At 39.1% G+C, this 26,168-nt stretch overlaps 1 protein-coding gene and 1 non-coding gene across 23 annotated transcripts in view, besides 1 other annotated feature; both read right to left on the bottom strand.

Annotated features, from left to right (window-relative positions):
- The window catches only part of ANKRD12 (ankyrin repeat domain 12), a 149,205-nt gene continuing 124,029 nt past the window's right edge, over window positions 993-26,168 (bottom strand). For 21 of the 22 annotated variants that reach the window (XM_005258093.5, XM_017025661.3, XM_017025663.3 and 18 more), the window contains 4 exons: window positions 23,090-23,188; window positions 11,311-11,454; window positions 7,334-7,429; window positions 993-6,037 (listed from right to left, as the gene is read on the bottom strand). In XM_005258093.5, the coding sequence (XP_005258150.1) occupies window positions 5,852-6,037; window positions 7,334-7,429; window positions 11,311-11,454; window positions 23,090-23,188 (525 nt within the window). In that variant the 3' untranslated portion in view covers window positions 993-5,851. Of the gene's footprint in view, window positions 6,038-7,333; window positions 7,430-11,310; window positions 11,455-14,206; window positions 15,077-23,089; window positions 23,189-26,168 lie in introns of those variants that run through there. The other variant, XM_011525638.4, reaches the window with a different exon arrangement.
- LOC124904369 (small nucleolar RNA U13) lies at window positions 8,899-8,999 on the bottom strand. Its single transcript, XR_007066487.1, has one exon. It is a non-coding gene; the product is annotated as a small nucleolar RNA U13 (small nucleolar RNA).
- Window positions 21,876-22,478: an enhancer, noted in NCBI's record as "NANOG-H3K27ac-H3K4me1 hESC enhancer chr18:9264498-9265100 (GRCh37/hg19 assembly coordinates)". NCBI's record gives its function as "activates a minimal SCP1, AML or CMV promoter by ChIP-STARR-seq in primed H9 embryonic stem cells {active_cell/tissue: H9 hESC(primed)}" and the evidence as "EXISTENCE:reporter gene assay evidence [ECO:0000049][PMID:30033119]".

Below are 26,168 nucleotides of genomic sequence, written 5' to 3'. Positions count from 1 at the left end.
TCTGAATGTCAAATACAAATGGCCTTACAATGAATAGAGGTGGTGCTCCTGAGACCTAAAGGTATTGTGTACCCATGTGGCCTCATGATTGCTAGTTATTAAAGGGAAAAACTTGTTTTTTGGGGTGACTTAAGACATCTACTAAATACTCTGGGACGATCGTTATCAATGTAAAGGAATTGTTAAAAGGTGAGGAAACTAGTCACTAAGAGAAACGGAAAGGCAAGCCACACACTGGGTAAAAACATCCATGATAATTGTATCTGACAAAGGACTTTTATGCGGCTTATAAAGGATTCCTACAAATGAATAATAAGAAGACAACCCAATTAAAAATAGGCAAAATTTCAAAAAATAAGACGTATAAATGGCCAATCAGCATATGAAAGGTATGCTCAATCTCTTTAATTACCAGAGAAATGTAAATTAAAACCACAAGATACCACTACACATCTAGGAGAATAGCTGAAATTGAAGACTGACAATGCCAAATATTGACGGGGATTCAGAGTAACTGGGCCTCCTACTGGTTGCTGATAGGGGTATAAAATGATACAACTGCTATTGAGAACTTTTTTTTTTCCTTTCTTTTCTTTTTTTTTTGAGACGGAGTCTTGTTCTGTTGCCCAGGCTGGAGTGCAGTGGCATGATCTTGTCTCGGCTCACTGCAACCTCTGCCTCCCAGGTTCAAGCGATTCTCATGCCTCAGCCTCCCTAATAGCTGGGACTACAGGCACGCACCACCATACCCAGCTAATTTTTGTATTGTAGAGACGGGGTTTCACCATGTTGATCAGGCTGGTCTGGAAGCCCAGATCTCAAGTGATCCACCCACCTTGGCTTCCCAAAGTGCTGGGATTACAGGCGTGAGCCACTGCGCCCAGCCGATAACTGTCAGTTTCTAATAAAGTGAAACATGCACCTACTCTATGACCTAGTGTTTGTACTCCATGGTATGTACCGAAGAGAAATGAAACAATATGTCCACAAAATAGGCTTGCAGATTCACAGGTTTATTAACAATAGTCCCAAACTGGAAACAATCCAAATACCAACAAGAGAACGAATAAACAAATTTGTACAATACACTACTACTCATTAATAAATTACGACTCATTACTGTTAGGTGCAACATGGATGAATTTCAAAACATCATGTTGAGAAACAAGGCAGACAAGGAAGTATGTATGACTCTATTTCTATGAAGTTCAAGGCTAGGTACAACTAATGTATGGTGATGGGAAATCAGCACAGTGGCTGCCTCAGGGGTAGTGACTGGAGAGAGGCATGAGTGAACTTTCTAGAGTAATGAAAATGTTTTACAATATCTTAATTTGGGTGATGGTAACATGAGTGTTTACATTTGTCAGGATTTATCAAACTGCCTAGTTAAGATCTGGGTAATTTTATTGAATACAGACTATAACAATGAAAAAAAACTGAGAAAGTTATTGATATTCTCTTGAGTGATGAGTGCATAGGTGGTGCCTTTTAAACTTGTAAACACATGCTACATATGTGATATACTTTTTTTTTTTTTTTTTTTTTTTGGAGACAGAGTTTCACTCTTGTTGCCCAGGCTGGGGTGCAGTGGCGTGAGCTCACTGCAACCTCCGCCTCCAGGCTTCAAGCGATTCTCCTGTCTCAACCTCCCAAGTAGCTAGGACTACAGGCAGGCACCGTCACGCTTGGCTAATTTTTGTATTTTTAGTAGAGAAAGGGTTTCACCATATTGGCCTATTTTCTTTTCTTTCTTTTTTTTTTTTTTTGAGACGGAGTCTCGCTCTGTCGCCCAGGCTGGAGTGCAGTGGCACGATCTCGGCTCACTGCAAGCTCCGCCTCCCAGGCTCACGCCATTCTCCTGCCTCAGCCTCCCGAGTAGCTGGAACTACAGGCGCCCGCGGCCACACCCGGCTGATTTTTTGCATTTTGTTTAGTAGAGACGGGGTTTCACCGTGTTAGCCAGGATGGTCTCGATCTCCTGACCTCGTGATCCGCCCGCCTTGGCCTCCCAAAGTGCTGGGATTACAGGCGCGAGCCACTGCGCCTGGCCTGGCCTATTTTCTTTTATGAGGACGCTGTCCATGTACAAAAAAACTTTTATTTGCAGTTATTATATAGCATTTAACCACTGGGAAAACCCAACCATTTTTTTAGTTGTACTTTTTGCTATTTTTATGCTAATACTTAATTTGTTTAAAGCCATTTTGATTAATGGAATTGTTTTAATTTGCCTCAGTTTTTTCTATGAATTCTACTTTTACTGACTGGAAATACTTTGGGTGACTATCTCTGTGGAGGCTTAAAAAAAAACTCCATTTTAGGTACAAAGACGGCTCCCAAGAAGTCACTTAAATAATGATGAATTACAAGATATTTTAACCACTAAACTCACACAAGCTTTTCCATTATTATCTAACAAAAATTTTGCCCTAAATATTTAAAAATAATTTTTACAAACGGTGAAAATGCTTCCTTTAAACTGTTTAAAAAGAGGACTATTTCATTGCGTTTTACAGAGTCAATTTCTTCTATATAAAATTTTGGGTTTTTATGTTTTAAGATATCAGAGACAATAATTTTCTTTTTGGAAAACTATGTATTTAGGTCTGCACTCAATTTCTAAAATAACTGTCTAATTGTTAAGTCCCATTCAAATGAGCTTCATGGGGTCTTTGAGATGTTTCCAGTTATGAAGTTTGTAGCATGTCTAATACAGGCAATCCTGTTCTATTGTGCTTTGCTTTATTGTGCTTTGTACATATTGGCGTTTTTTACAAATTGAAGGTTTGTGGCAACCCTGCTTCAAGCAAGTCTATTGGTGCTCTTTTTCCAACAGCATGTGCTCACTTTGTTACCATTTTTAGCAATAAAATATTTTTAAACTTATGTACATATTTTTAGACATAATGCTATTGCACACTTAATATAGTATAAACAAAACTTTTATATGCACTGGGAAACCAAAAAATTCCTCCTGACTCGCTTTGTTGTGGTATTTGCTTTACTGAGATGGTCTGGAACCTAAAGTACGTCTGAGGTATGCCTGTACTTAAAAATTCACTTGTGAGACTTCTCATTATTAAATAGATTTGAACTTGAAAGGCTAATTCTTCAAAGGCTGTTTCTTTTCCCAGGATGCATATTTCTGCAATTTTGCTAGCTGCCCAAGTAAAATTAAGTAAAAAAACAGTTAGCACACATTTCACTCTTTTTTTCTATAAAAATATAACTCTTTATTAAATAACATGCACAAATATCAACTAGTCATTAAACAGATATTTAGAACAAATTGTAAAGAAATACAAATCCTTAGGTACAATTTAGTATCTTGTTCATGATATTTGAAGAGTTTAAAAAGAATCACTGATTAAACTAACCATCCTTTTTCTTTCTGAATCCAAAACCTTTTCAGGCATATACTCCATTCCAAATTTTTTTCTAGCATTTCAGAGCTTCAGAATATCTTTAATACCAAAAGCCCTTAACTACTTATTTGATTATACATTTCCAATGAGAAGGCATTAACTTTTCTTTTAAGCTATCATTAGCTTTGAGTCTCTTTATAAAAGAAATTTGTAGAAGCATAATCATGGCAGAGAGGCTCCAGCTTTTTGAGGTACCATTTAAGAGAGTGAGAACTGTGGTTAAGACTAAAAAGCTGGGATGACTAAAATTCACCAGATTCCTTCTTGTCGCTTTTATCTTCTAAAAGCCTGTTCTGTTTGGGCCAACAGTGCTATTTCCCAGACCTCTGGTTGAACCATCAGAACAAAATGCCCTATAAACTTACCCCTCTCTGATTTTCTATAACTTCAAAGTTCAATTATCTGGTTTTTTATGATTTGCCACAGTATCCCATCCAATTTCCTTTTTAGGCAAAAGTATAAACAAACTTTGCAGTAAGTTTTCATATTAAAAAGTATTGCTTTTATAAATTAGCTTTTAATGTTCCCAGGCTTAATAAACTTAACTTCAACAGAACCAGTGCTTCGAAATCTACCCTGCCTTTCTGGCCCAATTTATCCAATAAAAAAGGCCAAAATCTCTCACCTAAATTTCTAAGGAAAACTACATCCAACCTTTATAATAAAGTCCTTGCACTGTGTATTTTTTTTTTACATGTGCTGCTTTATTGCGCATGCCAAGTACAGTAAGAATTAAAATATAAACTGACGTAAAAATTCAAAAATCCCTAAGCTTAATATGTACCTTTGCACATTTACATTCTCTCCCATTAGCTGGAATTACCAACTTGCACTAGATCACTTCATTCCTCACATATTTGCTTCACTTTTCTCTATCGGAACAGAAAACATTCAGTATTATAATTCAAGAAAGTACTGTGGAAAGTTTTGCAAATTTTACCTCATATATTTATGATAAATTGTACGCTAACCTAATTTTCCTTTCAAAAATGTCTAACAAGTTCAGCAGCAGATTTCAGACCTGAAATATTCCTGAATATTTAATTTACATCATGTTATAGGAGAAACTGGATTTTTTTTAAAGTATATTGCTAATTTATTATAAAACAGCATACCAAGTTTTATTTCAATTATAAAATTTTGCAAATTATGTTTTGCATCTTGATACAAGGAAAAAAATACAACATATTAACCTGTTTTTCATAAACATTTCAGAGATTGACTGGAATATTCCTATATTTCTTTTACTTATTTTGACTACCAAATATCTTTGATTTGCATACTTGGTTTTTATTTTAAAAGTGCAAAGGCTATTAAGCTTAAAACATTAAGCAATGTAAAAAAGTTTTACAATGATTTAACATGACCAATAAAATTTATTAAACGTATTTACATATATTCACAGATTCTTTCATAGGTGAATATTAAAATAGACATTTACAATTTCAGAATTTTCATTCAAAGGCATTTATTTTTTTCCTGGGGAAATAGGCTTTACTGTGAGATGAAAAAAGAGCTAAGTTTCTTTGTATGACTAAGTCTAAATAATATGTCCAACACAGTAAGTCACAGGTCTACTAGAGGAGACTAGTATGAAATGCCTTACACTACTGCAGGCATCAATTATGGAGAGTTAAATTATAGGAAGCATGCAATACAACTAAGCCACATCTTTGCAGTTATGGTGATGAAAACAAGCTAACTGAAACACCTGCATGCTGTATTTAAAAGTTTTCTACCTGTACACACTACTACTACACTCCATACAAACCACAACTTTGGTCCAATAAAACATGAGACAAAACAGTTTTACAGGTATTTCTTTGTACATGTTTTGACTACCAATCCCTTTATACAGTTTGACCATTAATTACAAGATTTACATCTGCACAATATGTATAAAATAAGTTATTAAAAAGGAAGACAATATTAAAACTTTCAAAAAGAAAACTGTACAATTTACAGATAATAAACTGAAGAAATTTTGTGCCAAGTTTTTCTCCCACATTAGAAACTATTTGGTAGGAATTGAACCTTTTAGTTTATTGATATATATTTTTTAATAAAACCTGAAAGAGATTTGAATACTAGTGGTTATCTTATTACTTAGAGCGCTAACAACTTCCAGCGCTGTTAGCAGATTCTCAACTTTTTAAATACCTACCAGTCTGCCAACATGCTCTAATGCAATAGTTACCTTTCCCAATATAAATAATAGTTTTCTATTAGAAACTGTGTTTGGATCTAAGATCCAAAATAATTCTCATTTTTTATAAAATGACAGTGTTTACTACATAACCAACTATAATCGAACTTTACTAACAATTGTAAAGGCATGAGTATTTTTGTCAAAAGGCAGTATTCCACAGTATAATGCTTGAGCATCACCAGTTTAGGACAATACCATCAGGAAGTACTGACTGCTATATAGGAGTCAATTCAAAGTCGTCGTTAACATCAACAAGGGGAACATAAAACTCCTGGATTTCGTAAATGCTGATAGATTTATAGGTGGCAGGATCAAGTTCCTGGAGTTTGAGCTGCCATTCTAACCTCTGGACAGCATTTAAAGCCGCAGCTTCATGTTGTTGCCTCATTAAAAGACAGGTCTATTTAAAAGAAGAGAAGAGTTACTTGATTATTCTGTTAACTTTGCTTTGTTTAAAAATTAATCTCATCCAGTTTCTTTAGGAACTAAAATGGACACATCAGGAGCATAAAAAGCATTTGAATTACAAGTCCATTTCTTTCTTTTTTTTTTGAGACAGAGTCTTGCTCTGTCTCCCAGGCTGGAGTGCAGTGGCGAGCTCTGGGCTCACTGCAACCTCCGCCTCCTGGGTTCAAGCGAGTCTCCTGCTTCAGCCTCCCAAGTAGCTGAGACTACAGGCATGTGCCACCACGCCCAGCTAATTTTTGTATTTTTCTTAGAGATGGGGTTTCACCATGTCGGCCGGGCTGGTTTTGAACTCCTGACCTCAGGTGATCTGCTCACGTAGGCCTTCCAAAGTTCTGGGATTACACGTGTGAACTGCCACACCCGGCCTACAAGTCCATTTCTGTTTTATCCTGTTTGTACACACATACCAACTATTTGTGGGTCTGCAACTTCATTTTCACCTTATACAGCACGGGTCCCCAACCCCCGGGTCACGGACTGGTACCGATCCATGGCCTGTTCAGAACTGGGCCACACCGCAGGAGGTGAGTGGCGGCAAGCAAGCATTACCACCTGAGCTCAGCCTCCTGTTAGATCAGCAACGGCATTAGATTCTCATAGCAGCTCAAACCCTATTGTGAACTGCACATGCGAGGGTTCTAGGTTGCATGCTCCTTATGAGAATCTAATGTCTGATGATCTGAGGTGAAAGTTTCATCCCCAAACCATCCTCCCACCCCAACCCATGGAAAAATTGTCTTCCACGAAACTGGTCCCTGGTGCCAAAAAGGTTGGGACTGCTGTTATAGATTTTAATTTGAAAATATTATTTCAAATTATGAGATTTCAAATTATCAAAAGAAACATGAAAATCTAGGGGGGAAAGACTTCTGAAATGATTCAAAATCTCAAATCAAATAATTTATAGATTTGAAAACTATATTCCTTTTCTTACCATTCTCCTATTCTTTCGTTATGTTCAAGCTATAACCAGACAGGTACATTGGATAGTAAGCATGAAGACCCACACTAGAAACTGCATTTTCTGTGGCAGTTTCCTCTTTCATACTACAACTAGTCCTTAAAATGGACTTGTGGTCTTTATCTTTCCAATTGTGGCCCAGTGTGAGGATTCATGACTAACCAGTATTTCCCCTCCTAATTATTTCTCCCTAATACAGCTGTAGAGTTTTTTTTTTTTTTAAGAAGGGGGAAGCATTCATTTAAACTGACTTCCAAACATACATACCTTTAATTTGTCAAATTTATCATCCACATCTTGTAACCAAGACATGAATTGTCTTGCATTAAAGCGATCCCTCACAGAAGTTTTACTGTCATCAGACTAAAAGAGAAAAGTGAGTATTATAAAATACAATAAATCACTTTAAAATCTATATGCCATTATAGTATTTTTATGGTATATGCTGCTTTCTTAGTAACGATGAAAATATATTTTGAGAAATATATAAATTGAATACTGCTGAAGTTGGTAAAACTTTTATTTCCACATTGTGTAGACAGATTGGTTATTAGAATTCTTGGGATGGTAGGTTTAATTATTAATTAAAATAGATTCCTATTGCTCTAAGTCAAAGACATTTCTCAAAAAGGCATGTTACATTAAGTACTGTGCCCGTGACATTATTACTGTATAACCAATTACAGATTTAATTTTAATGTTACAGTTTACTATCTGTAGGGACAAAAAGTATCCAGGTGGGAGAGAGCTGCCTTTGAGGCCAAAATTTCTTCCAGGACCAATATCTGCGGTGCTCATGAAGAAATTCTTTCTCATGAAGAAATTCTTTATCAACACTTAAGAATACCAGTTTTGGAATTAACAGACTATATTCAAATTCCAGCTCTGTATCTTACTACGTGATCTTGAACTAATTATACAGTTTCAGTCTTATACTCTGTAAAATGTGGTAACCTCTCTTCAGCTTGTTTTGAGAATGAAAAGTGTCTATAAAGCCCTCATCATAATGCTTAGGTACACAGGAAGCACTCAATGCAGCACTCACTCCATTACTACCACTACCAGTGCTGTCAAACTGACATCCAGGCAGCAGGTAGCTCCCACACTCACATTTTCTTTTTTTTTTTTGAGATGGAGTCTCTCTCTGTTACCCAGGCTGGAATCTTGACTCTCTGCAATCTCCACCTCCCAGGTTCAGGCGATTCTCCCGCCTCAGCCTCCCAGGTAGCTGGGATTACAGGCACCCGCCACCACACCTGGCTAATTTTTGTATTTTTACTAGAGATGTGGTTTCACCATATTGGCCAGGCTGGTCTCGAACTCCTGACCTCGTGATCTGCCCACCTCTGCCTTCCAAAGTGCTGGGAATACAGGCGTAAGCCACCGTGCCTGGCCACTACTCACATTTTTAGCAGTTATAATTTCTTCATTGGTGCCCCAAGTTAGATGTTTTGACTATTTAAAATGTTATTGTTGACTCTTAAGTATTACAAGTTTATTTATTTATTTTTCTTTACCACATTTCAGGTGCTCAAACAAGTTTATTTTGAAAAGGAAGAAGTGATAAGAGAGTAGACTAATGGATGATCTGAGCCTCTACCCAAAGAAAAGTAGACTTTTTTCCCTTTAGTTCCTTCCAAGGCTACTCCCATAGGAAATAACGCATGCTACTTGAGACCTTCTACTCTAAAGCCAGCTGTAAAAGGGTGGATAACAGTTCCATATTTAAATAAGTCACCAAAAATGCAGAAATGTTTTTAGCATAAGTTTCTCTCTGTCAAGAGAATACACCTCACATTTTGGTATCTCATCAAGCTGAATTTCTTCCCCCATGTCAGACAGGTAATGTGTGCACAATGCAACAAGGTTTGAGAGAGGCCTGTCTCACACAGTGTGAAAACCCAATCATCAGGCTTATGATCCACAAAAGGATCTCAGCAAGCTTAATTTAATCTAAAGTCAGGTGGTCTGGATCATTAAGAAAATCTGGGGCAGGGAAAATGAATTACTCAAGTTATCAAAATCCCTTTATAACTGAAAATTTATACTGTTCTAGGAAAACGCATTTATTTTTTAAATTCTCTTTTTAACCTGTATGATACTGGGCATTCCTCAACTCTGCTGTATTTGATTACCAATATGTTTTCATCTATTTTAAATCTTATCAGAAATTTCTTAATGTTTTTGTCTAACAGTTTCCCACCTCAATTTCCAGCTCTGCTATGAATTTGTTTTTATTTTTAATGAATTTAATTAATTACTTTACTTTTAAGAAACAGGGTGTCGGCCGGGCGCGGTGGCTCACGCCTGTAATCCTAGCACTTTGGGAGGCCGAGGCGGGTGGATCACGAGGTCAGGAGATCGAGACCATCCTGGCTAACATGGTGAAACCCCGTCTCTACTAAAAATACAAAAAATTAGCCGGGTGTGGTGGCGGGCGCCTGTAGTCCCAGCTACTCGGGAGGCTGAGGCAGGAGAATGGCATGAACCAGGGAGGCAGAGCTTGCAGTGAGCCGAGATCGTGCCACTGCACTCCAGCCTGGGCGACAGAGCCAGACTCTGCTTAAAAAAAAAAAAAAAAAAAAAAAAAGAAACAGGGTGTCACTCTGTCATCCAGGCTGGAGTGCAGCGGGCGCAATCATACCTCACTGCAGGCTCGAACTCCTTGGCTTAATCGATCCTCCCACCTTAGCCACCTGGGGTAGCTGGGGCTACAGGCATGTGCCACCATGCCAGGCTTTGAAATTTTTATGTCTTTTGTCATTTCAATGAGTTTTGGGAGAAAGAAGGAATCAACAGGTATGTATATATTTACTCAACCATTCTGAGCTAGAAATCAAGAGACTTTTCATTGTAGCTCGATTATAAACCTCAATTTATATTGCTCTAAAACTCATTTCTCTCTGATTGCTCAAAACTTAAAAAGATCTCAAGATACCACTGTTTAGTCCAGCCTATAAGAACATGGTTAAACTGTTAATTGCAGTTATTAAAAACCATCCATTCTTCCCTTTAAACATCTTTAAATATGAAAGTTCTAGAAAGTCCCTCAGTGGCCTCTCCAGTGCCTATTTCTTTAGTCACACAGTTCTTTCTGAAGAGACACAATTATTCATGTTAATAGCATCCTCAGATATCTCTGAACACTTTCATTTGAAATAAAAGTTGGAGACTTAAAGTTTTTTTTTTGTTTTTTTTTGAGACAGGGTCCCACTCTGTTGCCCAGGCTCGAGTGCAGTGGTACAATCCAGCTCACTGCAGCCTTGGCCTGCCAGGCTCAACAGATCCTCCTACCTCAGCCTCCCTGGTAGCTGGGACTACATGTGTGCCCCACCACACCCAGTTAATTTTTATATTTTTTGTAAAGACGGGGTTTCACCATGTTTCCCAAGCTGGTCTTGAACTCCTGAGCTCAAGTGATTGCCCACTTTGGCCTCCCAAAGTGCTGGGATTACAGGCATGAGCCACCACACCCATTCAGTGCCTTAAGTTTGAAACCTACCTATCTAGTTCAATCTTGATTTTTTTATAGATGAGAAAAATAAAGCTCAGAAGAGTCTAAAAATATTTTTCTGTGATATACCCTATTATCCTTTGTACTACTAGCTTATTTCCTTTAGAACAGCATTTCCTAGTCTGTTTTCAGGTGATAATCCTTCACTGTTTATTATAAAAATTTTAATCTTTAAATTCTTTCTTTTCTGGTTTATAAGCCATAAACAAATTCTGAAAACTAGTATGACTGGTTCTGAGTTCATGTAATTTATATGTGGCAGTAAACTTTATTGAAGATATTTCTCCAGTCTTCCACAGTTCATGTATTCCACCAACATTCAAAGTCAAACCAGAAGACTCGCTCTGTTTTTAGGACTGTCACAACCTAGAGGTGCCATCTAGCTGCACTATTTTTCAGTGTACAATAGCTTTCTAGCTGCCTGAAGGTCAGAACTAAAGGTATAAACATTCACTTTAGAAACAAATTATGTGTACCTGTAAGGGCACTATCCTAAATGTACAGGTGTTTTGTGATCATCTGCTTTTATAATAGAAACCTAATGTTTACAGTGCTTTAGAAAATGGAGGACCAGTTGATCTGGAAGTACTCTGGCTTGAAAGAGTTTTTTTTCTTCTTTGACCTTTAATGATTGTTGAGTTCAAGTTCTTTCTATGGAAATAGATTCTAAAAATAGCCAAGTTGCATTTTTTCAGACCATTACTTCTAAATGTATCAACAAACATTTTACCTGAGAGTCCAATGGTACATTGTATACTTCGGCATCCAGCAAAACAGTACAAGCACTAAATGGCAGTGTTTGATTTGCCAATGTTCTTGCAGCTCTGTAATGAACTCGCAAAACTTCTTGTTCGTTGGATACAATGAGTTTTTCCTAGTTGAATAAAGAATTAAAAAAAAATAAATTCTTCAACAAATTTTTGTTTAAGAACAGTCTTACTCTCTCGCCTAGGCTGGAGTGCAGTGGTGTGATCACAGCTCACTGCAGCCTTGACCTCCTGGGTTCAAGCAATCCTCCCACCTCAGCCTCCGTAGTAGTTGGGACTACAGGCATGTGCCATGAAGCACAGCTAATTAAAAATATATATATATATTTTTAGAGACAAAGTCTCACTAGGTTGCCCAAACTGGTTTCAAAATCCTGGGCTCAAGTGATCCTCCCACCTTAGCTTCTCAAAGTGCTGAGATTACAGGCCTGAGCCACTGTGCCTAGCCTCTTCTCACTCTGTCACCCAGGCTGGTGTGTAGGCATGATCCTAGTTCACTGTAATCTCGAAATCCTGGACTCAAGCAATCTTTCCACCTCAGCCTTCTGAGTAGCTAGTACTATAGGTGTGGACCACCACACTTGGCTAATTATTATTTTAATTTTTTTTTGTAGAAACAGGGGTCTCACTATGTTGCCCAGGCTGGTCACCATCTCCTGGGCTCAAGAGATCCTCCCCTCTCGGCCTCCCAAAGCGCTGGGATTACAGGTGTAACCCACATACCTGGCCAACATATTTTAAGTCATTTTATCTTATTCAAAAACAATTTGTTAGGCCAGGCATAGTGGCAAGACCCCATCTCTACAAACAAACAAGCTAAGTAACCCAAATTTCAGAGTAGTCTTTTCTTCACAGTAGGCTTGAGAAATTTGAGAACTCCCAGTGTTCCAAAAGTAGAAATACATTTTCTCTCTCCAAAACTACCAGTTTCTCTATTTTTAAATTATTTTTCCAAGTATGGTGGTATAAAATAGTGGCTTTTAGTGTATTTATCAAGATGTTCCACCATCACCAGAACATTTCCATCACTCCAAAAAGAAACCTGCTACCCATCAGCAGTCATTCCTTACTCCCTCCACCCCCTTCCTCTATGCTCCTAGTAACCAACAATCTAACTTTTGTCTCTATGAATTACCTATCTTGAACATTTAATATACATGGAATCACATAATATGCAATATGTGGTCTTTGGTGATTGGCTTCTTTCACTTGGCATAATGATTTCAAGGTTCATCCATGTTGTAGCATGCATCAGTACTTTATCCCATTTTGTGGCTGAAAAGTATGTTCTACTGCATGGATATACCACATTTTATTTATTCATCAGTTGATAGACATTTGGGCTTGAAGGGTGGCAGAAAACGCTACCCCAAAATATGCCACTTTGGCATAAACATTATTTTGAGCTAAAGGCAATCTGAAGTCAGCAGGCTCAAGAGTGCTCTGACCTCCCCTTTTCTACCTGAAAGCCAGAGATAAAACTCCCATGGGAAAGATGCTCTCCTGAAACCAGGAGGAAAGAAACATTCTTGTGACCAGTGACAGGGAATCAAGGCCAAGAGAATTCTGTACAAACAGACCTTGTTAAAATAACTTTCATCTTCCTTTAGCTGTCCAGTAGATTTTAGTTACTTTTCCACAGCTGCCTTTCTTTCTTCAACCTAGCATAAAATCACTCAGGTTTTGCCACGTCTTTGGCTCCCATGTGACATAAATCTTAAATAAATCTGCACATTTTTCTCCTGTTAATCTATGTCAGATGAAGTAAGATAAAATCACTTAAAATATGCTGGCCAGGCACAGTGGCTTTTGCCTGTAATCTCAATGCTCTGGGAGGCTAAGGTGACCTTAAGGCCCAGCTGGAGACCTTAAGATGGTGGAGGTCAACTTTTGCCTCCCCTACAGGCTGTTCACACTTTGAGGCTAATATGAAAAATGCTGCTATAAACGTTCACACTCAAGTTTTTGTTTGGATGCATGTTTTCATTTCTCTTGGATAAATAAGTAGAATGGAACTGTTGGGTCATCTGGTGACTCTGTTTAACTTGTTGAGGAACCACCAAACTGTTCCATAGTAGCCGTATCATTTCACATTCCTATCAGCAATGGGAGGGTTCTAATTTCTTCACATCCTCACCAGCACTTGTTACATATGTCTTTTTTATTACAGCCATTCTACTGGGCGTGAAGTGGTATGCCCTTGTGTTGGCAGTTTTATAATGAATATTTTTATAGAAATAAACATACTGTATGATGACATCAACTACTTGTAAACCTCTGACACACACAATAAAATCCTGTATTAAGTGGGGCCCAAAATTATTATGTAATATGCAGAGTCATTCTACCACAAGGTTCATAATATGACCTAGGCAATCTTCTGCATTTAGCAAACTGAGAATTCCTGGGGTCCAGCTGCAGATCCCAACCCATCCTAATATTTGCTACGGACTTGTGCCATCTGGTCCTAACTATATTCTTTGGCCTAAGTATCAATGGGGATAACCCTGGGACCTGTAGCTAGCTAGAACTTCATGGAGAAGTAAAGCGAGTCCAGGAACTCGCCAGTTTAATAACATACATCATTTTATTGGCCCTGTATGGAAGACTGGGCTGTGAGAATACAAAGAATGTGCCTAGTCTTCTAGGTTTCCCATTCTCCCCACCCCCACGTTTCCCATTCTCTCCTCTCCTCGACTCCCAGGAACTTTGGTCTTCTCCTGATGGAGAAAACAGGCCATATTATATCCAAAAATGTATTATTGCAGAGTTTTAATGTTTTTATAAATTCATGAAAAAAACAAAGAAACATGGTCCTAATTAACTTAATTCTTATATGACAAACGATATTCAAAGAGGTAGGCCTAACACTTTTGATTTATTAAGTACAATTTAAAGTGCAACTTGAAGTAATACATATCCAAAACCTTGATGCAAAATTAAAAATAGCCAGATGCGTCTTCCTAAAAAGTTGGTTGTAGTCCTGCAGAGATTAAAAGCAATAACCAAAAATCCCTCAAAAGCAAACACCATGTGAGAAATAACTTTTTCTTTTTTCTTTTTTTTTTTGAGATGGAGTCCCACTCTGTCGTCCAGGCTGGAGTGCAATGGTGTGATATCAGCTCACTGCAACCTCCGCCTCCCGGGTTCAAGTGATTCTCCTGCCTCAGATTCCAGAGTAGCTGGGATTACAGGTGCCCACCACCAAGCCTGGCTAATTTTGTATTTTTAGTAGAGATGCGATTTCACCAGGTTGGCCAGGCTGGTCTTGAACTCCTGACCTCAGGTGATCCACCTGCCTCAGCCTCCCAAAATGCTAGGATAACAGGCGTGAGCCACCATGCCCGGCCAAGAAATACATTTTCTAAAGTCAGAGCCTCTCTCCCCTAAAATAATTGAGATGTTATTTTATGATAAATGTTGCTTACCTGACAATCTAAATAGTACACTTTCGATCAGCATTCTTAATTTTGTGTTTTTAAACCCCTAGAGCAGAGCCTCTCAAACAGTGTCCTCTAAGGATAGGTTATGGGTGTGCCAATGTATTGCTTCCTCTTAGTTTCTTGGGTGATAGAGTGCAGCATGGGGAAGTTCTGAGGAAATGGGCAGGGATTCTGGCTGTAAACTTTGTTCATTTAGTATAGCATTCAAATGTTACCATTTTCTGTGGGGAAAATGACCCTTGAACAGCGTTGCTCTTAATTTGAGGTCCTCACACCCTCAAGAAACCTGAAGATAGAATAGGGGTAGGGTAGTCGGTGAACTTGGATTGGAAAAAATTATGTCTTTATTTTCACTAACTTCCAACTGGCATTTCTTTCAATCATGAATATGTCTACAAACCACAGTAGAATCATAAGTATCTGCAGCTTTGTCATTCATAGAAATCACAAATATTTCTAAATTATTAATATATTACAGATGTACTGATATCCTCCCAAATTTTTATACTAATTTCTTCTTCAAAATTCCTGGCTGGCCACAATGGCTCATACCTATAATCCCAGCACTTTGGGAGGCTAAGGCAGGAGGATTGCTTGAGCCCAGGAATTTGAGACCAGCCTGGGCAACACAGTGGGACCCCAACTCTATAAAAAAATTTTTTTTTTTGAGACGGAGTCTCACGCTCTGTCCCCCAGGCTGGAGTACAGTGGCATGATCTCGGCTCACTGCAACCTCCGCCTCCTGGGTTCACGCCGTTCTCCTGCCTCAGCCTCCCGAGTTGCTAAACGCGTGTGCCGCCACACCCGTCTAATTTTTTGTATTTTTAGTAGAGACGGGGTTTCACCATGTTAGCCAGGATGGTCTCGATCTCCTCACCTGCCTCAGCCTTCCAAAGTGCTGGGATTACAGGCATGAGCCACCACACCTGGCAAAAATTTTTTTAAAAAATTAGCTGGGTGTAGTGGTGCATGCTTGTAGTCCAAGCTATTTGGGAGGCTGAGGCAAAAGGATGGTTTGAGCCTGGAAGGTTGAGGCTGCAGTGAGCCATGATGATCACACCACTGCCAGCCTGGGTGACAGAGTGAGACTGTCTCAAAAAAACAAAAGAAAATCCCTGCAGTTGTGAGATCTGCTGCTATATGACACCTAACTGCAGTTCTGCGTAGAGATACTTCTATGACACAGCTGGCCGGAGATACTTGTATGACATAGCTGGCCAATATCAAGCAATTTTGCAGCTAGTAGTTACTGAGCCACCACACGGTAAAGTTGTTTGTTCTCGTATCAGTCAGACATTTAAAGTTGCCCTCAAGTATTATACAATTCTAAATTGTTTATTGGTCAAATACGAGTAAGATGTATCATTTTTTTATTAAAGTTCTACAAATTGCACAATTCAAGTAAGAATTTATTTTTTATATTATACTTTTAAGTTTTAGGGTACATGTGCACAACGTGCAGGTTTGTTACATATGTATACATGTGCCATGCTGGTGTGCTGCACCCATGAACTCATCATTTAATATTAGGTATCTCTCCTAATGCTATCCCTCCCCGCCTCCCTCCACCCCACAACAGGCCCTGGTGTGTGACATTCCCCTTCCTGTGTCCATGTGTTCTCATTGTTCAATTCCCACCTATGAGTGAGAACATGCACTGTTTGGTTTTTTGTCCTTGCGATAGTTTGCTGAGAATGATGGTTTCCAGCTTCATCCATGTCCCGACAGAGGACATAAACTCATCATTTTTTTTATGGCTGCATAGTATTGCACGGTGTATATGTGCCACATTTTCTTAATCCAGTCTATCATTGTTGGACATTTGGGTTGGTTCTAAGTCTTTGCTACTGTGAATAGTGCCGCAATAAACATACGTGTGCATGTGTCTTTATAGCAGCATGATTTATAATCCTTTCGGTATATACCCAGTAATGGGATGGCTGGGTCAAATGGTATTTCTAGTTCTAGATCCCTAAGGAATCGCCACACTGACTTCCACAATGGTTGAACTAGTTTACAGTCCCACCAACAGTGTAAAAGTATTCCTATTTCTCCACATTCTCTCCAGCACCTGTTGTTTCCTGACTTTTTAATGATCGCCATTCTAACTGGTGTGAGATGGTATCTCATTGTGGTTTTGATTTGCATTTCTCTGATGGCCAGTGATGATGAGCATTTTTTCATGTGTCTGTTGGCTGCACAAATGTCTTCTTTTGAGAAGTGTCTGTTCATATCCTTCACCCACTTGTTGATGGGGTTTTTTCTTGTAAATCTGTTTGAGTTCATTGTAGATTCTGGGTATTAGCCCTTTGTTAGATAAGTAGATTGCAAAAATTTTCTCCCATTTTGTAGGCTGCCTGTTCACTCTGATGGTAGTTTCTTTTGCTGTGCAGAAGCTCTTTAGTTTAATTAGATCCCATCTGTCAATTTTGACTTTTGTTCCCATTGCCTTTGGTGTTTCAGCCATGAAGTCCTTGCCCATGCCTATGTCCTGAATGGTATTGCCTAGGTTTTCTTCTAGGGTGTTTATGGTTTTAGGTCTAACATTTAAGTCTTTAATCCATCTTGAATTAATTTTTGTATAAGGTGTAAGGAAGGGATCCAGTTTCAGCTTTCTACATTTGGCTAGCCAGTTTTCCCAGCACCATTTATTAAATAGGGAATCCTTTCCCCATTGTTTGTTTTTGTCAGGTTTGTCAAAGATCAGATGGTTGTAGATATGTGGCACTATTTCTGAGGGCTCTGTTCTGTTCCATTGGTCTGTATCTCTGTTTTGGTACCAGTACCATGCTGTTTTGGTTACTGTAGCCTTGTAGTATAGTTTGAAGTCAGGTAGTGTGATGCCTCCAGCTTTGTTCTTTTGGCTTAGGACTGACTTGGCAATGCGAGGTCTTTTTTGGTTCCATATGAACTTTAAAGTAGTTTTTTCCAATTCTGTGAAGAAAGTCATTGGTAGCTTGATGGGGATGGCATTGATCTATAAATTACCTTGGGCAGTATGGCCATTTTCACGATATTGATTCTTCCTACCCATGAGCTTGGAATGTTCTTCTATTTGTTTGTATCCTCTTTTATTTCATTGAGCAGTGGTTTGTAGTTCTCCTTGAAGAGGTCCTTCACATCCCTTGTAAGTTGGATTCCTAGGTATTTTATTCTCTTTGAAGCAATTGTGAATGGGAGTTCACTCATGATTTGGCTCTGTTTGTCTGTTATTGGTGTATAAGAATGCTCGTGATTTTTGCACATTGATTTTGCATCCTGAGACTTTGCTGAAGTTGGTTATCAGCTTAAGGAGATTTGGGGCTGAGACGATGGGGTTTTCTAGATATACAATCATGTCATCTGCAAACAGGGACAATTTGACTTCCTCTTTTCCTAATTGAATACCCTTTATTTCCTTCTCCTGCCTGATTGCCCTGGCCACAACTTCCAACACTATGTTGAACAGGAGTGGTGAGAGAGAGCATGCCTGTCTTGTGCCAGTTTTCAAAGGGAATGCTTCCAGTTTTTGCCCATTCAGTATGATATTGGCTGTGGGTGTGTCATACATAGCTCTTATTATTTTGAGATACATCCCATCAATACCTAATTTATTGAGAGTTTTTAGCATGAAGGGTTGTTGAATTTTGTCAAAGGCCTTTTCTGCCTCTATTGAGATAATCATGTGGTTTTTGTCTTTGGTTTTGTTTATATGCTGGATTACGTTTATTGATTTGCGTATGCTGAACCAGCCTTGCATCCCAGGGATGAAGCCCACTTGATCATGGTGGATAAGCTTCTTGATGTGCTGCTGGATTCGGTTTGCCAGTATTTTATTGAGGATTTTTGCATCGATGTTCATCAGGGATATTGGTCTAAAATTCTCTTTTTTTGTTGTTGTGTCTCTGCCAGGCTTTGGTATCAGGATGATGCTGGCCTCATAAAATGAGTTAGGGAGGATTCCCTCTTTTTCTATTGATTGGAATAGTTTCAGAAGGAATGGTACCAGCTCCTCCTTGTACCTCTGGTAGAATCTGGCTGTGAATCCATCTGGTCCTGGACTTTTTTTCGTTGGTAAGCTATTAATTATTGCCTCAATTTCAGAGCCTGTTATTGGTCTATTCAGAGATTCAACTTCTTCCTGGTTTAGTCTTGGGAGGGTGTATGTGTTGAGGAATTTATCCATTTCTTCTAGATAATTCCAGTTTATTTGTGTAGAGGTGTTTATTCTCTGATGGTAGTTTGTGTTTCTGTGGGATGGGTGGTGATATCCCCTTTGTCATTTTTTATTGCGTCTACTTGATTCTTCTCTCTTTTCTTCTTTATTAGTCTTGCTAGTGGTCTATCAATTTTGTTGATCTTTTCAAAAAACCAGCTCCTGGATTCATTGATTTTTTGAAGGGTTTTTTGTGTCTCTATTTCCTTCAGTTCTGCTCTGATCTTAGTTATTTCTTGCCTTCTGCTACCTTTTGAATGTGTTTGCTCTTGCTTCTCTAGTTCTTTTAATTGTGATGTTAGGGTGTCAATTTTAGATCTTTCCTGCTTTCTCTTGGGGGCATTTAGTGCTATAAATTTCCCTCTACACACTGCTTTCAATGTGTCCCAGAGATTCTGGTATGTTGTGTCTTTGTTCTCGTTGGTCTCAAAGAACATCGTTATTTCTGCCTTCATTTCGTTATGTACCCAGTAGTCAGTCAGGAGCAGGTTGTTCAGTTTCCATGTAGCTGAGTGGTTTTGAGTGAGTTTCTTAATCCTGAGTTCTAGTTTAATTGCACTGTGGTCTGAGAGACAGTTTGTTATAATTTCTGTTCTTTCACATTTCCTGAGGAGTGCTTTACTTCCAACTATGTGGTCAATTTTGGAAGAAGTGCGGCGTGGTGCTGAGAAGAATGTATATTCTGTTGATTTGGGGTGGAGAGTTCTGTAAATGTCTATGAGGTCCGCTTGGTGCAGAGCTGAGTTCAATTCCTGGATATCCTTGTTAACTTTCTCTCGTTGATCTGTCTAATGTTGACAGTGGGGTGTTAACGTCTCCCATTATTAGTATTATTGTGTGGGAATCTAAGTCTCTTTCTAGGTCTCTAAGGACTTGCTTTATGAATCTGGGTGCTCCTGTATTGGGTGCATATATATTTAGGATAGTTAGCTCTTCTTGTTGAATTGATCCCTTTACCATTATGTAATGGCCTTCTTTGTCTCTTTTGATCTTTGTTGGTTTCAAGTCTGTTTTATCAGAGACTAGGATTGCAACCCCTGCCTTTTTTTGTTTTCCATTTGCTTGATAGATCTTCCTCCATCACTTTATTTTGAGCCTATGTGTGTCTCTGCACGTGAGATGGGTTTCCTGAATACAGCACACTGATGGGTCTTGACTCTTTATCCAATTTGCCAGTCTGTGTCTTTTAATTGGAGCATTTAGCCCATTTACATTTAAGGTTAATATTGTTATGTGTGAATTTGATCCTGTCATTATGATGTTAGCTGGTTATTTTGCTTGTTAGTTGATGCAATTTCTTCCTAGCATTGATGGTCTTTACAATTTGGCATGTTTTTGCAGTGGCTGGTACCGGTTGTTCCTTTCTATGTTTAGTGCTTCCTTCAGGAGCTCTTTTAGGGCAGGCCTGGTAGTGACAAAATCTCTCAGCATTTGCTTGTCTGTAAAGTATTTTATTTCTCCTTCACTTATGAAGCTTAGTTTGGCCGGATATGAAATTCTGGGTTGAAAATTATTTTCTTTAAGAATGTTGAATATTGGTCCCCACTCTCTTCTGGCTTGTAGAGTTTCTGCTGAGAGATCAGCTGTTAATCTGATGGGCTTCCCTTTGTGGGTAACCCAACCTTTCTCTCTGGCTGCCCTTAACATTTTTTCCTTCATTTCAACTTTGGTGAATCTGACAATTATGTGTCTTGGAGTTGCTCTTCTCAAGGAGTATCTTTGTGGTGTTCTCTGTATTTCCTGAATTTGAATGTTGGTCTGCCTTGCTAGATTGGGGAAGTTCTCCTGGATAATATCCTGCAGAGTGTTTTCCAACTTGGTTCCATTCTCCCCGTCACTTTCAGGTACACCAATCAGACGTAGATTTGGTCTTTTCACATAGCCCCATATTTCCTGGAGGCTTTGTTCGTTTCTTTTTATTCTTTTTTCTCTAAACTTCTTGCTTCATTTCATTCATTTGATCTTCCATCACTGATACCTTTTCTTCCAGCTGATCAAATCGGCTACTGAAGCTTGTGCATTCGTCATGTAGTTCTCGTGCCTTGGTTTTCAGTTCCATCAGGTCCTTTAAGGACTTCTCTGCATTGGTTATTCTAGTTAGCCATTCGTCTAATCTTTTTTCAAGGTTTTTAACTTCTTTGCCATGGGTTCGAACTTCCTCCTTTATCTCGGAGTAGTTTGATCATCTGAAGCCTTCTTCTCTTAACTCGTAAAAGTCATTATCCGTCCAGCTTTGTTCCGTTGCTGGTGAGGAGCTGCGTTCCTTTGGAGGAGGAGAGGCGCTCTGATTTTTAGTTTCCAGTTTTTCTGCTGTTTTTTTCCCATCTTTGTGGTTTTATCTACCTTTGGTCTTTGATGATGGGTGACATACTGATGGGGTTTTGGTGTGGATGTCCTTTCTGTTTGTTAGTTTTCCTTCTAACAGACAGGATCCTCACCTGCAGGTCTGTTGGAGTTTGCTGGAGGCCCACTCCAGACCGTTTGTGTGGGTAACAGCAGCGGAGACTGCAGAACAGCAGATATTGGTGAACAGCAAATGTTGCTGCCTGATCATTCCTCTGGAAGTTTTGTCTCAGAGGAGTACCCAGCCGTGTGAGGTGTCAGTCTGCACCTACTGGGGGGGTGCCTCCCAGTTAGGCTACTCGGGGGTCAGGGACCCACTTGAGAAGGCAGTCTGTCCGTTCTCAGATCTCCAGCTGTGTGCTGGGAGAACCACTACTCTCTTCAAAGCTGTCAGACAGGGACATTTAAGTCTGCAGAGAATTCTGCTGCCTTTTGTTTGGCTGTGCCCTGCTCCCAGAGGTGGAGTCTACAGAGGCAGGCAGGCCTCCTTGAGCTGCAGTGGGCTCCACCCACTTCGAGCTTCCTGGCCACTTTGTTCACCTACTCAAGCCTAGGCAATGGCGGGTGCCCCTCCCCCAGCCTCGCTCCCGCCTTGCGGTTTGATCTCAGACTGCTGTGCTAGCAATGAGCGAGGCTCCGTGGGCGTAGCACTCTCTTAGTCAGGCGCAGGAGATAATCTCCTGGTATGCCGTTTGCTCAGTGGGAAATGCAGAAATCACCCGTCTTCTGCGTCGCTCACGCTGGCAGCTGTAGACTGGAGCTGTTCCTATTCGGCCATCTTGGCTCCACCCCTCAAGAATTCTTAACTGTAAGGTGGCAAGACTTTCTGTAACCTGGACAGGTACACAGATGAATATATACTAGGTGGTTTCAAACGTCTTAATAGTTGAAATAGCTATTGATGTGTGTTATATTACCTGACTTCTTATTGCTAACAAATTGCTCATTGTCAATGGGTCATGCAGTGTTGTAAATTCTGTATTGTGCTTCTTTCTTTCATTTGTTGCTTCTCTTTGTAATTCTATGAATTTTTTAAATTTAAAAACATTCTGAGAAGAGGTTCTAAATTTCTTAGACTGTTACAGAAGTCCACAGTAGGAAAAAAATTAAGAACCTGTGCCAGGAAAATCAATCATGTATGAACCAAAGAAGTTATATACAAATTTTGTTTGCATATGAGTATGTATATATTTCTGTGAAGAAGGATCATAGTTTACACCACATTTTCAGAGGTCCTCAACCCTCCCCAAAGGTTAAACATATTTTTGTAAATCCAAGTGAAATGACTTATAATTCCTATAAATAACCCGATAAAGGTTTTTCTTCCTGTAATTTCACGCCAAGACTAACCATTGGAAGGCACATACTAAGGCCGACCTACGTGGACAAATAAGCATAGCCTTTATAAGTATTTTGCCCTTTTGCCTTAAAACAGCTGGTACCAAGCAATGATTCCAAAACTTGGAAAGCCAAATGTTCCACTAGGAATCTACTGCTATAGTTCTACAAATTCAACAAATAACAAGAAGTTATTAGAGACTTACATATTAAAAATATACTCAACATAAATTATAATATGGGAGCAGCTATCCTAAAATAGGCTTAAAATTTTTCCATCTAATAAACACAAGATAAAACCAAATCACTTCTCAAAATGGTTCTAAATTTTAAAAATCCACTAATAAAAAATTATAGGCCATTTTAATTTATTGCTAGAAACCAGTTATTTTTAGCATAAGTGTAAATTTAAACATTTCTTACCCTTTCAATACTGTGTTGCAAACGTAGTTTCATCCTTACAACTTCCTGTTGTCGAAAAAGCTCTTTAAGTGGATCTGACAGTGAAGGTGGTGGTGTAATCTAATTAAAAAGATATATATAGTTTAAAATATTAGGTTTTATTTACAATAATGGGCTATTCTTTTAAAATTAAACCCTTTTAGTGCATAAAAAAACAAATTCTGATGTCCTGTGAATTAAATAATACAGCACTAGTTATAGAACTGATTGTTACTTCTGTTTGGAAACATTGAGCACAGTTTAGATGTTTTGATTCTAAGGCCACAACAAATTTCAAAGAGCAAATTAGAAGGACTATGGAAGTTATTCCAGCGAGACACATTTTAGATCATCAGTAAGTGACAGCTCACAGACAAGGAGGGAAGGAGGAGTCACAAAACCAGAAAAGCTGGTATAAACATGCAGGAAACACTAGTAAAGATTAAAGCAGTTCAATTGGTATCTATATAGTGAGGTCTGTCTGCAGACATGATAAATATCAAACACTAAAGTCCTGAGTGTTACATTTAATTCTTTTATAAAAGCAGATGAAATGGTCTGAGAAATTGTTTTCAAACTTTATTACATGTAATATCCCAATGACTTTGTCTATCCATACTCCAAAAAGCTTCTGGTTCATCTCTAATTTGATATTGTAGTGTAATATCAAATTACACTACAAACCCAGAAGAGAGGTGTTTTCCGGTAGATGCTGGAGGTTAAGGAAGCTGATTCAATCTATGCGTGTAACTGCACTGTTACAATAAGATACACTGGCCGGGCATGGTGGTCCACACCTGTAATCCCAGCACTTTGGGAGGCCAAGATGGGTGGATCACGAGGTTAGTAGTTCGAGACCAGCCTGATTAAATGGTGAAGTCCTGTCTCTACTAAAAATACAAAAATTAGCCAGGTGTGGTGGCACATGCCTGTAATCCTAACTTCTCAGGAGGCTGAGGCAGGAAAATTGCTTGAACTCAGGAGGTGGAAGTTGCAGTGAGTTGAGATCATGCCACTGCATTCCAGCCTGGGTGACAGAGCGAGACTCTGTCTCAAAAAAAAAAAAAAAAAAAAAAAAAAAAAGGGACATCTTGGCTGGGCATGGTGGCTCTCGCCTGTAATCCCATCACTTTGGGAGGCTGAAGTAGGATTGCTTGAGACTAGGAGGATTGCTTGAGACCAGGAGTTTGAGACCAGCCTGGGCAACATATTGAGACCCCCATCTCAAAAAAAAAATTTAAAAATTAGCTGGATGTGGTGGTGTCTGCCTGTAGCCTCAGCAACTCAGGAGGCTGAGATGGGAGGATAGCTTGAGTCCAGAAGTTTGAGGCTGCAGTAAACTATGATTGCACCACTGCACTCCAGCCTGGGCAACACAGGGAGGCCCTGTCTCTTAAGTTAAAAACAAAACTAAAAACAAAACAAAACAAAAGATGTCCAAGAGATGGCAATAACCATCTGTGATCCCTACTCTTTTTCTACCCCTTGGAGAATTTGTATTTTCCCCCTTATTCTTGCTTATAATTACTGCCAGCATATTATGGCAAAGTAAGATATCTTAGCATGTTTTGGCAAGTTATAACACTTCTGGTTTAACAGTCAATTCCACATGAAAGTAGGACAACCAGGTATTTTCCACTTCTTGATGTAGTGCCACAGGAATCATGTAACACCATATATGAAAAGTTCTTGACAAAAATCACACCTGGCTCTACAGACTCTATAATCAGCATTATGAGAGACTGAAAACATGTTAAATAACACCACAAAGACTCAATCAGTTGAATCACAATGTGGAAAATTCTACAGGACAAACAACTTACTGGAACTGACCATTTCTCAGGCCTCTAATTGCAGTAATTCATTTGTTTAATTTCTGCGTCCTGTGAACTGCTTTAAACTTAGCATGAGTTGTAGGTAGTTTGGTGCTGTTTTAGTTTTGGAAAACCATATAGGCCTCTAGTTATTTCAAGGAATGTAGAGGACGGATATCTACTGTCTGACACTGAGGTGCCAGAGAAAGCTTCCTCAAGAGGGCAAATACCTGACCTGCATCTTAAAGGAAGAGCCAGAGTTAGAGTTAGTGAAACGAATCATGTGGGAAGAAAGGAAAAGGAGGGAGGGAGGTAATTCCCAAAAGAGGATGGCATGCAAAAACAAACAGAATGGTATCTGCAGACAACTCTAGGTTGGTGCAAAAGTAATTGCGGTTTTGCCATTACTCTCGTCGTCATCATTTCACACCATTTTGTCAAATTTGATGTTCTAAGAACTTAAGACCGCAGAAGAGATCAGCAGGGGCAAAATAATACAGGCTGCAGTCTACTCTGTAAATGTGCTTTTCTTAAAGTATGTTCCACAGAAGATTGGGCCCACAATTTCTCTTACAATTCTTTACAATCTTACAATTCTGTAAAGATCTACAAAAATGCTTCCAAGAACAAGTTTGGAAAACACTGTATACTTGTATAAATGTACCCACTTAGAAAACTCCCAATACATCAAAGGTTCTGGTAAGTTCTGCAGTGAACCTATTTTTAGATTAACAGTGCTTCCCAAACTTATTTGACCATGAAAGCCTCCCCCATTTGCACAGGAGGCATTTAAATAACATGCTGTGGAAGAGGTATTATGTAGAACATGTTAGGGTTAAGTAACAGAGAACCATGAAAGGTCTGACAGCTTGCTGCTCTGTGTGAACAGACACCATGGGGACAAGATTGTAGGCAGGGAATTGAGGAAGCAGCTTACTATTGTGTTGGTGTGAGATGGAGGAGGGAGTGAAGGAAATGGGTTCGAAAAATACTAGTGACTGGCCCAATAAACATAAACAAGAAGGAACACCTCAGAAGGACTTGAGGCTTAGTGTGAGAACGGGAGGGTGGTAAGGGACCACAGGAGGGAACAGGAAAGGAGAAAGAGAAGCAGGTCATTGGGTAAGTTCAGCTCAGTGCTGACTTACTGAGTTTCTGGAGCTTATGGACATTCAGGTGGAGCTATGCAGTTACAAAAAAGAAGCCAAGGAGAGAGATCTGGGCAGGATATTTAAATGTGGTAATCA

Source organism: Homo sapiens, chromosome 18 (genome assembly GCF_000001405.40).
Source record: "Homo sapiens chromosome 18, GRCh38.p14 Primary Assembly".
NCBI lineage: Eukaryota > Metazoa > Chordata > Mammalia > Primates > Hominidae > Homo > Homo sapiens.
Note: the sequence above shows the minus strand (reverse complement) of the source record. Positions and strands in the feature narration are given on the sequence as shown.